This window comes from Homo sapiens, chromosome 12 (genome assembly GCF_000001405.40).
Source record: "Homo sapiens chromosome 12, GRCh38.p14 Primary Assembly".
Taxonomy (NCBI): domain Eukaryota; kingdom Metazoa; phylum Chordata; class Mammalia; order Primates; family Hominidae; genus Homo; species Homo sapiens.
Genome location: NC_000012.12, coordinates 18,331,223 through 18,347,313, shown reverse-complemented (window position 1 = coordinate 18,347,313; position 16,091 = coordinate 18,331,223). Strand labels below are relative to the sequence as shown.

The window sequence follows — 16,091 nt, the reverse complement described above, 5'->3', positions numbered from 1 at the left end:
ATAATTCTTGGCTAATTCTCATTTTATCAAGGTACAATTCTTGCAAAATACCACTGAAACCTGGTGGGGATCAGAGTGATTTTTTTTTTCTATTTTTAAAGACTCTCTATCTCTCTGCATGTGCATATGTTTTTGTCTTACTATGTTTTCTTAACTAGCATTAGCCATTTAAACCCAAACATGAAAAAGAAAATTTTAGAGGAGCCACTAAATGGAATTAGTATTTTCTATTTCCATAACGATATATTGGCAATGACAATTATTTAAATATGGGAAATGGAAGAAGAAAGAAAATTAAATATCCATTTTGAATCTAAACATTTAAAATGTGATTTTAAGAATATGGATAAAACTATGCTGATTAATTCCAAAATTTTATGAAATCTTTGCTCCTGCATATAAGAACATGACAAATTGCATTCTACTTAGAAGCTATGTAAAAATGAATGCTTTTGTGAAAAACTCACCACCACTCACCTGTGCACCCAGGTTTCTGGAATGTTGTGTGCTGCATACACTGTGAAGCTGAGGTGGGAAGGAAGCCCGGGATTTAGATAGGAAGTGCATCTAGGTACATTTACAGGCTGAAAATCTGCATAAAAGCTGTTACAGTAGACATTGATTAGCTGGTAGATGGATGTGGATAGTTCAGTTGTTACCTTCTCTATCAAGCCTAGAAAGGAAGAGATAGAGATCAAGTCACTAAGAAGGGCCATATTTATCATAGGCCATCAATTACAGCTTTGAAATGTCATATAATACAATTTCAATAATTTTAATTAAAGTGACCCTTTACCAATTGAAGAGAATTAACTATCTGTACCTCTGAATGCAACCTGGTTTAGTTGCTGCTAGATTAGACATCAATAAGCTTTCTGATCTTCAGCTGCAGAAATCTTGGAAGCATGGCCTTTTCATAACAATTTGGAATTTAAAAAATTATTAATTTGACATTCTGATCAACTGTAATTTGCAATAATTTTTGTTCTGATTTGTGATTGTTTAAAATTAATTTTCAGACAAGGAATATAGATGGCTTATAAGTACATCAAACAAATTCCATCTAAAGAATTAATCATAATAAATTTGATGATGCTATCATGTTTACTATTAACTGAACACTAATCATATACAATGTGTTGATATTAAAAAGAGAATGAAAATAGTACAAGGCTAGGATTTAAAACCAGCTTGAAATGAAAGATTTATGATGTTTACTGTATCTCTTCAAAATCAAAGACTTTCTTGAGTTTTGCCATTAGTTATTTAAAAGGAGTCTACTGGTTATTCCTAAAAGTGACTTGTCATGAAAGAAGAAAAATGAAAAATTACTAGTTATAGGAGCTAATAGTTTTCCTCTGGCAGCTAAGTAGAAATTGAGAACAAGTAAGCACATCATCAGAAATTGTGTTCTTAAGATCTGCTGTGATGATTCCATGTGCTAAGTTAGTCGATACAGTTGTTTATTCAAACACATGCAATTCTTTATAAGTTGCTTTTAAAACATGCAATTCCCTATATAGTAGTTCAGTCTTAACAGTACTTTCGCTTTCCACAGTTTGTTACCTTAAGTAAACTTAAGTAAAAAAAAATTAAAAGAAAATTCTAGAAATAAACACTTTATAAGTTAAAAAAGCATGAATTGCCTTTTGTTTCTAATTGTTTGGAAATGAAAATAGTGCAAAGAGCTAGATATTTCCTTTGATAATCTACAGTGTTCCAGCACACAGGCAGTTGGATGCTTCAGGAAAGGGGCCAGCTTGACATGGAGCTTCCTCCCACATCCTGTCTGTGCCTCAGTACGTCTGTCTATAATTAAACATTTTTGTTGTTGTTTAACACATGCTATTTTTCACTTAGTTATTCATAAATTTGTACAAAATATATAAGGTAGATTAATTTTCCTTATTTGTTATATTTCTTAAATTGTGCCCTCTGTTGAAACAGTCTGGGGGGGACAAGCAGAGGAAAAAGAAAACCTGTAATTAAAATTCTCTGAGAAGTCAGCAGTAGCAATTAATGAAGCGGAAGAGTAAAGCAGTGTAAAAATAGTCTTAAAAGAGGCCTCATCAAACTTGGAGGCCAACCAACAGAGATTCTGCTGAACAGCAGGAGGCAGAGCATTATAAATTTATGGAAACATCTTGTTTCTTTATCTCCAAATTGTACTTTTGGTATACTGAAGCAGGAAGCACAAACTCCTTTTCAAGAATTCCCAACATTGTGCAAGTGAACACACATCTAAAATAAATCATAAATTTGATTTATTAATTTAAGCTTTAGCGTATATTTTGGGGAAAACTTAGCCATTTGGTTAATTAAACTCTACTTTTTGCTTTTCATGCAGAAACATGGTTCTTGGATAAAATTTGCTACTTTGAGTTTGCATAGAGATGTATGCTTATGCATTATGTTTTACTTCCTGAACTCTGGATGCAGACTACATTTCAAATAACATCATCAAAACATATTAAGAACCCAAGACACAGGGCTTGGTGGTGAAATATGGTGGGAAAAGTGTTTATCGCACCTAATTTTACTCTGGAAAAGAGTTATAGTGCCATGAAATAAAGAGGCAAGGACAATCTATGTGCAATTTAGACTCAATTAAAATCTATCATGATTTATTATAGAATATAAGTCTCCAGGAACATTTCTGTACAGTTTTGTGGGATCTCATATTCCAGTCCCCTGAGGAATATGGGGGAGGAGACCTCATTACAACATTCCTGATAGAAAGGGAGAATCAGTTTCATACAGACACGCCTGCAGCTCGCTCACTCCACATACGACCACTTAGATTCTGTTAGCAATACTGTCAGGAAGTGTCCATTCCTTCCCTCCCTCTATGGTGTTCTGGAGTTTTATGAACACCTAGAATAGGGTTTTTGTACTTGCACAAGTTTCTTTATACCCTCCGCCACCCTATTTTCCTTTTTGATGTGAGACGGGGGAGTTCCTCAAACTTAATTGAGTGTCTTCTTTTGAGTGGTGGGAATTAGAGTTGAGAGGATATACTTTTGTACGTGACTCTTTACTGAAACAGTTAAGGGTGTGGAGGGCAGGTTAGGTTTTCATTTGCTTTCCAATGGATTGTTCTGAATCCAGGGGTTAGTTGAACATCTGAGGGGCAGGCAGTTTTCTTGCAGATACTCAGAGTATTCCTGTGCCAAGTACCATCTACAACCAAGAACGATCCTGACCAGATCCTGCACATTAAATCCTATTATATTGTTTATGCATATTACTATAACGGGATCAAAGAGTTTAATCTAGATTCACAGACTCTGAAAGCAGAGTCTTTGATTCAAAACCAGTTGAGATTTGAGTTGGGAGAGTTGAAATTCAAAACCAGTTCTGCCTGATTCCAAAAGTCAGACTGCTCCGTCCCATGCAATCTCACACCTACTGTTTTCTATAGAGGCAAAGTCCTCCCGTGGCTTGCAATTTTATAGACTCGAAGCCTCTGTAAACACTAATTATTCCAGAACCAAATCCTCCTACCTGTTATATTAGCTTGGTCTTTCAAATAGAGCTGGAATTCAAATTTGAAGTGGATGACCTTGCAGACAGACATCTACTACTTTTCTAATTTTTCTTACATCAAAATATAATTAAGTAAATGGTAAAATTTTCAATGTCTTGGAATGGTTATAAGATATTTTCAGTATTATAATTTTTATAGATCTTTTTATTTTTCTCATTATTTTTAAAATATCAGGCTAAAAGTTTAGAGAGTGCAGATTTTTATTCCCTTGCAGAATAATCACTTCCATTAATAAAAAGAACTTTAGAAAAGCATCTTTCTCCTCAAAAAGCTCGTGTGTGTGTGTGTGTGTGTGTGTGTTGTGTGTTACCACAGTATTTGCATAAAAAAATTGAAAAAAGTATTTTGGATTCTGTAACTTATTTTTTTCTTTATTTCAAAATACTTGAGTACATGTATGTTTTACCTTTTGCTGAAGTCTCTGAACTTTGATAAAAATTCTGAAAAAAAATGTAAAATTATACTTGTTATTCGCACAACAAATTCACAAAATAGTCAAATAGTAATGTCCAAAATCTAAACATTATAATTTCTTTGTCATGGTAAAACAACAAAATATTTCTTGGCATCATATATCAATTTGCTTATTAAACAGGATGAATTTAAATTGTATGATGAAATAAAAACTTTCTAAATATTGTAATAAGCAATGTAGGTTATGTATTTTTTTAAAAAGAAATTACCACAACAGATTGTCTAAGCTCAATCCTCCTTACATAACAGTGACTGATTTTTTGATAAAAGTGCATTTCTAATTCTCTCTGTATGCCGTGTCCAGCTCTTATTCCTAGCAGTTATTCAGCAAGCTTTGGACAGCACCAAAAACAAGACTGAATTGAAGTGGACAAAATCAGTACAGATTCACTAAATAGTTTTCTTTCTTTTTTTCTTCTTAGGGAATTTTTAAAAATCTGATAGTCTAACACTTGAAAAAATAAAATATCTTGAGTCATATCTTAAATAAAAAATACAATCTGAAATCCTATTTTTTTGGTTTTCATTTTCATTATTCTTTAAATTCATGTCCATTAGTGTGGTGGCCTTCCTTATTTATTTATTTTTATCCTTGTTAGAAGCCTAGAATTACTTTGGTGGCTTAGGATTTGCTGGTTGTAACTAAACTATCATGAAAACTGTATAAGGTGATTTATAGACATCCTAAAAAATGGTTTCAGCCCAAAAGGAAATACAATTTTTAATAAGATCCATTTTAATTAACATTAAAATTTTTTAAATTTATAAACTCAAAATTTAAAAAAGTAAAAATAAAAAAATAAAATTTCAAGTCTTGCATTTAAGGAAATACAATTAGTTAAAAGCCAGGTTTCTCAAACAAATAAATTAGAGAATAATTGTTTTTCCGTAACAAAAAAATTGTTACAGTATTCCTTTAGAGAGAGAACATTTTGATCATGTTTAAAATGTCATTACATTTATATGCAACTTTTTAATTAAAAGCATCATTTGCATGAACCTTTTCAGAAGCATTTCTATTAGGCAAAATATTTCATTAGAGTATAGTATCAGTTGCTACTCTTAACAACTACATATAAGATCCCCACTCTATCTATGTGGGTGAGACTATTAAAAATGTTAGACTGATTTAACTAAAATTCAATTTATTTAGAAATATAAACTTGTATTAGAAAATCACCGTGACATCCACCTACACCATGATGTGCAAGACCATATTTTCACTTCGTGGTTCGCCTATTATGTAAGCATTTAATGGAAATTAAATTATGTGAGTTCTGGAATATAATTTGAAGGATGCAAATTGTTTCCAGTGCTGGGTCAGAGAATAAAATAGAGTACAAGTATGTTTGTCATATAATTCTTCATCTTGCCAAAACTTACATTTAATAAACACCTAAGGACTTCCCTGTATGGCAGGAAATAGTCCTTTGCATGTTGACCAAAAATGCAGCCAAGAAAAAGAAAAGCTTCTTAAATTTCACAGTTTGTTGGCAGAAGACCTGTATTTGTCATTTCTTCAATCTTAAGTTCATGGTGGGTGGATAGACTGCTTTGGCATTGTTAACTGTAGCTGGTTACTGCACAAATTCTGTAAAATGTACTTACTATGTGTGCCAGTACTCTTACATAGGTGGGCTCACATTTAAAATGGGATGGAAAAAGAGATGAACAAAAGTATAAATGCAACTGATGTAGAATAAATGAGCTTTCAGCAGTCTGCTCAAAATAAGTGGGACCCAGTTTTTACAGAATATTGAACTATTTTGTCTATTGACATATATTAAATAAACTCCTTATTTTCAACTCCTTTTTTAATTTCTATGCATGAAAATCATTTTAGTCTTATCAAAATATAGGATAAATATTTAGACATTACGAGTTTAAAAGTTTCAAAGAAATATCACACAAAATTTTGTGTTTATACTAGTACATAAGGAAAGTGAAATGTGAAGATGAGTTTTTCTTGAGTATTATAATTGTTTATGGCTTTCCTATGAAATACCCAATTCCTTTGTGAAGAATTCTTTTAGCTTCAAATATTGTAAGTTTGATATTTCTGAAAATTGTCATTTTTATTCTCTTAAGGAGTTTCAGAAAATGAGTGTTTTGAAGATAAAACTTTTTATAACCAGCAATACTTTAACATCCTTTGAAATACTTCATCCTAAAATTATATTTTCCTCGTTGTTTGGTCAGTTGTTTGCCAATTCGTTAAGAACTGGACATAAAAGTCGAAGAATAACCAAATAGTCTTAACAGATGGGAAGACGTGTCGACATCCACACATCTGGTTTCCTCCTCTGGCAGTGGTTCATATTTGTCAGGAGGCTGGCTGTAATCGATGGCCATGAGGTGACAAGGGCCAACCTTCCTGGTGCTTGTGTGAATTAAAGCCTTCATATTGGCGTTGTGGGAAAGATTCTCCAGAACTAGCACCAGCACCATCCTTAATACCTCCATTAACAGCAATGATCTCATTTAAGCTACACTGTCATCAGGGCCCTTTATTAACATTGTTTCCCATACTCACAAGAACTCAGGAAATTATTTTATTTTTCTGTTTTAAACATGAGGAAAATTAAAACTCCAAAAAGTGAATTAGTTTTCCACAGGATGTTTAGATAGAAACTGGTAGATCTTAGTATCTGCATTATCTTATCTCATGTATTTTATCAGCTCTTGGAGCTTGTAATGTTTCTAAAATGTGACAATTTAAGAGTAATAACTGCTTGTTCAAAGTTAATTCTCACTACCTTGTTATACTGACTTAACATCACCAATTAGAAAGCCCTTTTTCAGCATCATATAATTGCCAAGTTTATAAGCTCATCAAAATAGTTGTTTTCAAAACATACTGGTGAAATGCTTTTTAAGACTCTGATACAAGCTTGTCCAACCTGCGGCCTGTGGGCCACATGTGGCCGAGGATGACATTGAATGTGGCCCAACACAAATATCACAAATATGTAAACTTCCTTAAAACATTATGAGATTTTTTTTTTTTAGCCTATCAGCTATTGTTAGCGTTAGTGTATTTTATGTGTGGCCCAAGACAATTCTTCCAACATGGCCCAGGGAAGCCAAAAGATTGAACACCCTGCTGTAGTATATTTTTTTCACTCTGAAGCAGAATAGAAAAATATGATTATATTATATATGATCAAATTAGATTGTTTTACCTTGTTGTTATTTGTAAAGGCACTAGGTCTTAATAGCTACATATAAAAACAGTTTTGGAGACTACATAGTTATTCCATTTCCTTCTATAATTGGAAAGTAAAAGAGAAGGTGTTTCCTTATTAAGAAAAATTTAGGGAAATAAACACAAATCTGTCTTTGATATTTAATTTCTGGATTTATTGTTTACATTATTTAAATTTTGATTTCTTTAGTGCTTTGCATTTTAGCTTTTCAGCAATGTTTATCCTTAAAATATTTTTGTGGTATACCTCCATGACTCATCAAAATCTTCATTGTCATTGTTCATGTAAAGAACGTATTTAAATTTCTATATTCATTTTTTTACTGTCTAATCACACAAAACTTTGGATTAAATAAGATCTAGAAAGCCCAACATTAAGAAACTACTGAATTTTCATACCCACTTATCTATTTGAAACAATAAGCAGTAAGCATGACTATTTCTGTTTGGTAATATGATTATCTACATTGTAAATCAGTCTTTTGAAAATTTCAAGATTGGCATATTCAAAAGTAGTAGAATTTCTCTTGTTCTTTACCATGCAGATAGAGAATGTATGTATTCACTCTATCTTAGAAAGTTTCACATACACTGTAATGTGTGTAGAGGCCTAGGTTCAAATCTGTATTTTGCCACTTATTAATTCTCTGTACACACACACACTGTAAGTGTTGAGTTTTCATAGTGAAATGAACATTAAAATACCAACTTTATGACATTGCTGTGAGCATCTATTGAGATAAAATAAAAATTAAATTCAGTGAGGTAATGCATATGTCAAACTATTTTATACATTACAATGGACTAGCAAATGCTAGTTATTATCATCATATCTTTCTGCTTTATCATTTGCTAAACTAATAATAAGATAAATGAATTTATTGTAACCAGATGTCGTAATATTTTTCTTGGAAAATAATCACTTACAGGTCTACATCAGATTTCTGAGAATTCAAAAGAAAATCACATAATGCCCATTTTTTAAGCCCACCAAATCATGATGTGGGATCCATAGAAAGTCACACAGAAATCATGGAGGCAGTGTGCACTGCAAAATTCGCAAAAGATACCACAAAAATTGATTTTTTCTTTTTTATAAATATGCTTATCCATACAAACATGACACTTAATGCCTGTATACACTCGTATACATGAGAACCATTAACAATCTATACAAACACTTACATGTGATTATTATATAATTACGTTCATTTAGGTAGGATTGTAGGATTGATTACAATATCACCTGAAGTTATAAGGTGGTTACAAACTTCAAAGGTGTAATCAGTGTTCTTATAGTTTAATCAGATCTATTTGGCATAATAGACTCAAGCTGCCAATACCCCCAAACAATTGAAATATACTGTTTGGCTGCATGCACACACACACACACACACACACACACACACACACACACACACACAGATACACACAAACATACACACGGAAATATAGTTGTTAGTAAAAAGTCTTTCACTCTCCTTAATTAAGTATTGAACTCAGGTTTAAAACTACTGTGTAATAAATGAATGTACTTACCTCTCCTTTTCTCTGAAGAATTAGACTTAGTTCATTTACTGCATCTGTAATTTGTTTGGTTTCCACACACCCTAGAACACTGCATATTTTTTTAACTTCTTCAATAATATTATACACGTTTTCCTGTAGATAACAAGATTCACATCTTACAATCTATTGAAATAAATGAGGGGACATTAATTTATCCTCAAACTTCTTCTTTTTCCATGAGGAGCAAGTGGAATAAAATATGCTTGTTTGCTTTCACACAAAAAGAAAGTTCTCAAGACTCTGGTTATCCTGTGACTGGGGCTTTAATTTTCATTGAGCAAATGTTCAAAATTAGAACTGACTTAACACTAACTTACTAACTTAGCTCTAATTTGACATTACTTGAAACAAAATGAGAGAGAGAGGTATAAGGAGAGGAAGTGGTAAGGAAGAGGGAGAGGAAAAGAGAGAAAGAGAGGGAGGAAGAAGTGTGGGGAAAGCAGGGAAACTCAGCCTTAGACAAAGTCTGTGGTTTCCACAAAACACTATGAAGAAAAAGTTATGATGGCCGACCCCAGGAGAGTTTCAAAATACACCTATTGTTTGGAATCAGTGTATAGTTGGGCAAACTTACTAGAAAATCGGAACAAACTCTGGACAGCCAGTTGTGGTGTTAAGGTGTTTGATAATCATCTGATTGCACTATCCTTGAAGTGACTGATTTTTCAAAAAAATCGCTGATGACAAATATAATCTACTGATATAGTTTGGATGTTTGTCCTCTCCAAATCTCATATTGAAATATAAGCCTCAATGTTGGAAGTGAAGCCTGGTGGGAGGCATTGGGTCACAGGGCGGATCCCTCTTGAATGGCTTGGTGCTGTCTTTGCAGTAGTCAGTGAGTTCTCACAAAATCTGGTTGTTTAAAATTGTGCAGCACATCCCGCCTCCCTCTGCTCCAGCTCTCGCCACGTGAGACACCTGATTTCCCTTCACCTTCTGCTATGATTGCAAGCTTCTTGAGGCCCTCACCAGAAGCAGATGCTGGCACCACACTTCTTGTATTGTCTGCAGAACCATGAGCCAATTCAACCTCTTTTCTTTATAAATTACTCAGACTCAGGTATTTCTTTATAGCAACACAAAAATGGCCCAATACACCTACAGCAATGACAAATTCTTAAAATCAACAACGCAGGCTGGCCTTAAGCTAGACAGCGATTTTATGGTCACCATTCTAAGAACTTTTCATTAGCCGTTCTGTATCTCAGATTTACACATGTTCTTAAATAAGCATTTATTTTAAAAAATCTTCTCTGTTTTGACCTTATTCTTTTCCATGTTTTTCCATTAACTATAGTGAGAAATCTCTCTTTTCATTGATTCTGTGTGAAGCATGTTTCACTCTACAATGTTTTTATATTCTTTGTCTTTATCGTTAACAATTGTGGTTTTTCAAAAAACATCAGTTTTGTCACCAGCACCACCGTCCTTCCAATGGAGAATTACAATAGTTTATTTCAAGAAGAGATGGAACAGAGTTTTTCCTTTTATTTTCACACAAAGATATGTGTTCACAGCATAAAAAATTTTTAATTCTCCTTATTCTAGGGTATTTTCTTAACAAAGTGTCAGTACAAAGACACAATGCAAGTTTTATATAATGGGATAATACTTTGCTTCTTTTGTGGAAAAATAGCCAGTATCTCTGATATGTAATTTTACAAATCCGAAACCAATGACAAAAACCTGAAGAATAACTAATTAATACTATAAAAGACAAAGTGAGGATTCCAAAAATTGTCCACAGATTTTATTAATGAGCTAAAAGTAAAAAGATGCAATTTAGTTGAGATCTATTTTGTCTTTCATGGATTAAAAAATACATCCGCTCAATAATAACATGGAGAAGAAAAATTTATGAGTCATCCAAATGGAAAAAAATCATTTATTTCACTTATGTGTGAACTCAATGTAAGTCAATATTGTGATGTGGCTACCAGATCCAGTTCACAATTAAATAGAATCAAAAGACACATGCTCTCCATAACTAGAAAGTTAGTTCCACCACATTTTCAATGTATATTATCCAAACTGGAGTTTAGTTTGGGTACTAGATTTGAGAAAGTACTAAACAAATTGGAAATTACCAAAAGACAACAATCTCACTATTAATATACTGTTAATACAGTATTCATTCAGAAGAACATCATAGACAATATTGTCAGCTCTGAAGTCAAGATCTGTTTGTTTACACCCTGGTTCTGCCCCTTTCTACCTGTGGCCATCATCAGAGTATTTAACTTTCATGTACCTAGACTCCCTCTTCTGTGAAGTGAGAACAATAAATAAGTTTCTGTAAAGATTAAATTAGATAAAATATGAAATATGGTGCCTGGCAGATAATGAGGGCTAAATTTTAATGTTTAACTAATTAATTTTATTCATTTACACCAATCTTTCAGTTTATAAGAGAAATGAAACACTGTATATGCAGAGATAACTAATAGAATAAAAATTAGAAAATCATAAAAAACTGAAAAGTCATATTAGGTTCTATGTTTTTTTTCATTCATCTGTTCTAAGTAAATATGTGTGATACATGGGTTTGTGAAAATTCATAAACATCACTAATTGAAATACTAATACTGGGTTGACTTGGGTCACTAGGTAGCTAGTAGCTGATTTATTCAATCTATTACTCCAGTCTTGCAGTACTTCTTATGTGATCTACTTATCTCATTTAATCTTCACATTCTGACATTCTGAAGATAATCATTATATTCATGCATAACTGAGATTGCTAGAATATGTGAAGTAAAAGATTGCAATTGTAAAATTGAGTTGGTGATTAACTGGATATGAGAACCAACAGAAAGTTTGGATTTAAGATGATTCCAAAGTTTCATTTCCAAATTTTGGAAACTAAGAATATGGGGTGCTATTCATTATGGCAGAAACACAGACAAATATTTCTGGTAGAATTGTGATGTGAGTATTTTTTGATACATAGCCTTTGAGCTTCCCAGAGGAAATGCAAGGGAGTTCTATCTCTAGCAACTGTTGGACTGAGAAAATATAGACACACTACACCACACATACATACACACACACACACACTCCCCACATGTTCATATAAACATTACACAAATTTTAAGAAAGGCAAGATAAATCTCAGGGTTGCAGACATTTAGAGGGAATTTCAAGCCTGAGCAGTAGCTCCAACAGTGATGCTGTAATGGCCTGGAGGAAATATCAGACTAGATGTAGATCCTCAGCTGTAGGATTGGTGTTTTTTTGCTAACAGTGGGACAAGTGCTGAAATCTTAGGACTAAATCACTTGGTGAAGGTAGGGGGAAGGGGCAGAACTGGAGCTAAGATCCTCGAATAGTCCTCAGACATTGGATAGCAGCCACCTGTAAAAAGTGGGAGAAGAAAAACTATGCCTACTGATCAGAAACACTTTTGATGAAGCCTCTCTCTACTCAGCCCTTGAGTAAGAAAAATGATTATGTGAGGAACTGAACCCTCGTCTGTGCTCTGTGTGTCTCTGGGGTATTAATTTATACTACTCATAGTAGGAATTTATGTTAAAAATTGCACTAGGCTATTGTGACTTTTTGGACCCAGGCAGAAGTAAATGCACAATTGTATAAACACTTTTCTATACTGACCTACAGAGTTTCTCCCCAAATACACATACATATACAAATGCATGCACACACACATGCACTCACACACCAGAGTACGAGGGGAATATCAGTTTAAAATTTACAAACCCTATGATGGCTGATTCGCAAGGTGAGATCCCCTGCAGACACAAAATGCAGCAGGGTGAGCACCCTATTTCAAGAAATAACAAAGGTAGACTTGGGCAACATTTTCATAGAGGTGATACATAGACTAAAATTTGAATGTGATTGTCCCGAGAGAGAATGTAGACAGAGAAAAAAAAAGTTGAACACTGGGTGCATAACATTTCAGAACATTTAATATTTTAATGATGGAGGAGAAAGTTTGGGTCACAGATGGAGCACTTAGTGTGGAGACATAAGCCAGAAGACTACAGCTTAATAGACATCAACGTGAAGGTAGTTGATGGTATTACAAAATTTTAGCTTGGCAAAAAAGAAGAAAAATAAAACATTATAACCATTTCAAGTATTTGATGGTCTTTCAGGTAAAAAGAGGATTAGATTTATTGTAAGTAGCTCTAAGATGATAAATGAGAACAAATGGTTGCACACCTAGAAAGGTTCTTTTGACTCAATATAAGAAAAATTTTTCTTAAAATTATTTGTCCAAAAACTGCGTAGGCTGCCTGTTGAGTAGAAAGGTGCTCCAGATTCAGGTATATGATCAATCAGGGATATTTAGAGAAGATTTTTGCATTGCATAGGAGTTTAGACTAAACTGCTTCTAAATTCTTTCTAATTTCTTTGGATTAATGAAAACTGAAAACAGCACTATGATGTTATTTTATGTAGTATATTCTAAGCTTATCGTTGGAAATATTGGATGTGTCCCGGACTTTGAAGGAGCCATATGCTAATACTTTAGAATTAATTAATCATACTTGAAAAATGTTTTGAACATTTGAAAAGGTGGGTAACAGCCTTGTCTCCCCTGCATCTTTCTGGAAAACCAAACAAAACGGCATAAGTGGTTGATTATTCTCCTCTCTTATTTAGCTGTGATGGAGACCAAAGCAGTATGCATTTAAACAGCCATGTAACAGCTTACCATCTTCCAGATTTTATATAAACTTTCATGAGTTTCTATTTATATTAGACACAGTGAAAATTATCAAATTCAATTAATGAGTTTGGAGACAAATTGAGAATTTAGAATGCCGTTCATTCCAGGTTCAGTAGTTAGTGCCAATATGAATTATTTTTTCCTTAAAGATTAAAAACAGCTTTGAAATGCAGCTTGGCTTAAAATATAAAAAAGGATGAGTTCATGTCCTTTGCAGGGACATGGATGAAGCTGGAAACCATCATTCTTAGTTAGCAAACTAACACAGGAACAGAAAACCTAACACCGCATGTTCTCATTCATAAGTGGGAGTTGAACAACGGGAACACAGGGGCACAGGGAGTGGAACATCACACACCGGGCCTGTCGGTGGGTGGGGGGTTAGAGGAGGGAGAGAAATAGGAGAAATACTTAATGTAGATGACGGGTTGATGGGTGCAGCAAACCACCATGGCACGTGTATACCTATGTAACAAACCTGCACGTTCTGCACATGTATCCCAGAACTTAAAGTATAATAAACAAACAAACAAACAAATGAAAATATAGAACATCGATCTCTCTGCAACAATGAAAAATCCAGATAATATACAAAATTATAACTTTTTCTGAACCCCGCTGAGATCTAAGGTCATAAAGTGACCAAGTAAACCAAACTACACAGTGAAAACTGCTCCAAAGAGAGATGGGGCACACAAAATGTTCAAACTTTGGCAGAGCACAGGAGAAAGAGATGGTCACCATATCCATGAGTAAGAAGATATTAAGAAATTAGCTAAAATTTAACAGATTTTTTAAAGGCCAGGTGTGAGCTAGCATGTCAGTTTGGAATATCAGGAAGCCCAAGACACATGGGGAGTTTACAGTCTCCTGCAAGCTCTTTTCCATGGACGCCTACCAGCTTTTCGGGGAAAATACTGAAGGCTGTGCAGGAAACTGAAGTCATATTCGGTGGCTCAGGTGTGTAGGTAATCAGCTGTTTCTGGGAGACAGTTACGGCGCTCTGTCCACTTCTGTGGATCCTTTTTGCATAAGAAGCAAAACTCTAAGCTGCACGAGGAGGAGCAGCAAACCCTGCATTTCCCTGAGCCCAGGCAAAAACCCCTTGCTTCTGGAGAAGTAAAAAGCAAAATAGTCTTGTCTCTGGGGGAGAAGTAGGACATAGATGAGAAGCTCCTTTGCTGTTGAAGGAAGGGTAGAAGCAAAAGGCCTTTGCTTCTGGGGAAAGGCCAGGAAAGTTGTCTTGGGTCCAAGATCTTACCTGGATACCCATTAGAGGTCAGGGATAAGGAGCAATAAACTCTCGTTTACTGTGAACGACACAGATATAAGGCAGAGTTTGGCCGCCATGTGGAGGAGGGGCAGGAATGCTCCAAGAGTCCTAGTCCTGAGACTCAAGTACACAGAGTCTGCCTAAGGCTGTGACTGGTTCATTACAACACAGAACTCTCCTTGTCCCCACTGCCAAAATAGGTCTAGCATTGAGTAATAAATAAGCAAGGGTGGAGTACCGCTGGGAGAGTGACAACAGTGTTTAGAGAGACTGTCTCTTTGGCACAGACAAGCAGGAGCTGTCAAAGCTGAGGATGAAGCAGGATCCTACAGGGAGGGAAATGTCATGGTACCACAGGCTCCACTGTAAGCTCAGACAATAATAGCTTATCTAATATTTTATGAGGCCAGCATTACTCTTATGCCAAAATCTAACCATATTATAAGAAAATAAAAACACAAACTGATGTCCCTCATAAATATAGATGCAAATATCCTTAACAAAATATTAGTTAATTTAAGTTAGAAATATATGAAACAGATTATAAATTCTTAGTAAGTGTAATTATACCAGTAATAAAAAGATTTTTAAAATTTGAAAAGAATAAAAGAGAAAAACCATACGTGCATTTGTACATATGCACAAAAAGCATTTGACAAAACTCATAATCCATTCAAGAAATAAGCTCTTAGTAAACTATAGAAGGAAGCTTTTTCAACCCAGTAAAATATAACTAACTTTTTATATTATAACATAACCTCTAAATAACTTTACACTTAATGATAAAAGACTGTAAAGTTCTCCCTCAAAATAGCAAGGCGGGGATTCTGTTCTTATGACTACTTGTAAAATCCTATTGGAGACTCAGTAAGTGTTAAATTATAAGGCAGGCAAGTAAAAAAATAAGAGGGCTATAGACTAAAGAGGAAAACATAAAATTATTTCAGAGATGACATGATTGTATATGTAGAAATCCTAAGGAATCCAAAAAATAACTCTTAGATATAAAAAGTGATTTCAAGAAGACATAGTATAGAAGGTCAATATATGAAAGTGAGTTCCACTCCCACGTATTAGTAACAAACAACTGGAAAATAATATAAAAATATTATTTAAAATATTAGACAAAAACATGAACTAATAACTTTAATAAACTATGCATAATCTCTATGCTAAATTGTAAAGCATTGCTGAGTGATTTAAGAAACCTGTGTAGGTGAAGAAATAGATCAGATTAAATTGATCTCTCATGGATTAGAAAATACAATTTTTTAAAATATCAAGTTTCCTTACATCAATCTATATATTCAACGCAATCGTAGCA

The 16,091-nt window shown here is 33.9% G+C and overlaps 1 protein-coding gene across 16 annotated transcripts in view; it reads right to left on the bottom strand.

Annotated features, from left to right (window-relative positions):
• Positions 1 to 16,091, bottom strand: part of PIK3C2G (phosphatidylinositol-4-phosphate 3-kinase catalytic subunit type 2 gamma) — a 483,857-nt gene that overhangs the window by 379,504 nt on the left and 88,262 nt on the right. For all 16 annotated transcript variants that reach the window (XR_931307.3, XM_047429007.1, XM_017019471.2 and 13 more), the window contains 3 exons: positions 8,766 to 8,888; positions 3,954 to 3,987; positions 478 to 673 (listed from right to left, as the gene is read on the bottom strand). Coding sequence is in view for 15 of the 16 variants with exons in the window: in XM_047429007.1 (XP_047284963.1) it covers positions 478 to 673; positions 3,954 to 3,987; positions 8,766 to 8,888 (353 nt within the window). In the remaining variant the exon portion in view is untranslated. The remainder of the gene's footprint in view (positions 1 to 477; positions 674 to 3,953; positions 3,988 to 8,765; positions 8,889 to 16,091) is intronic.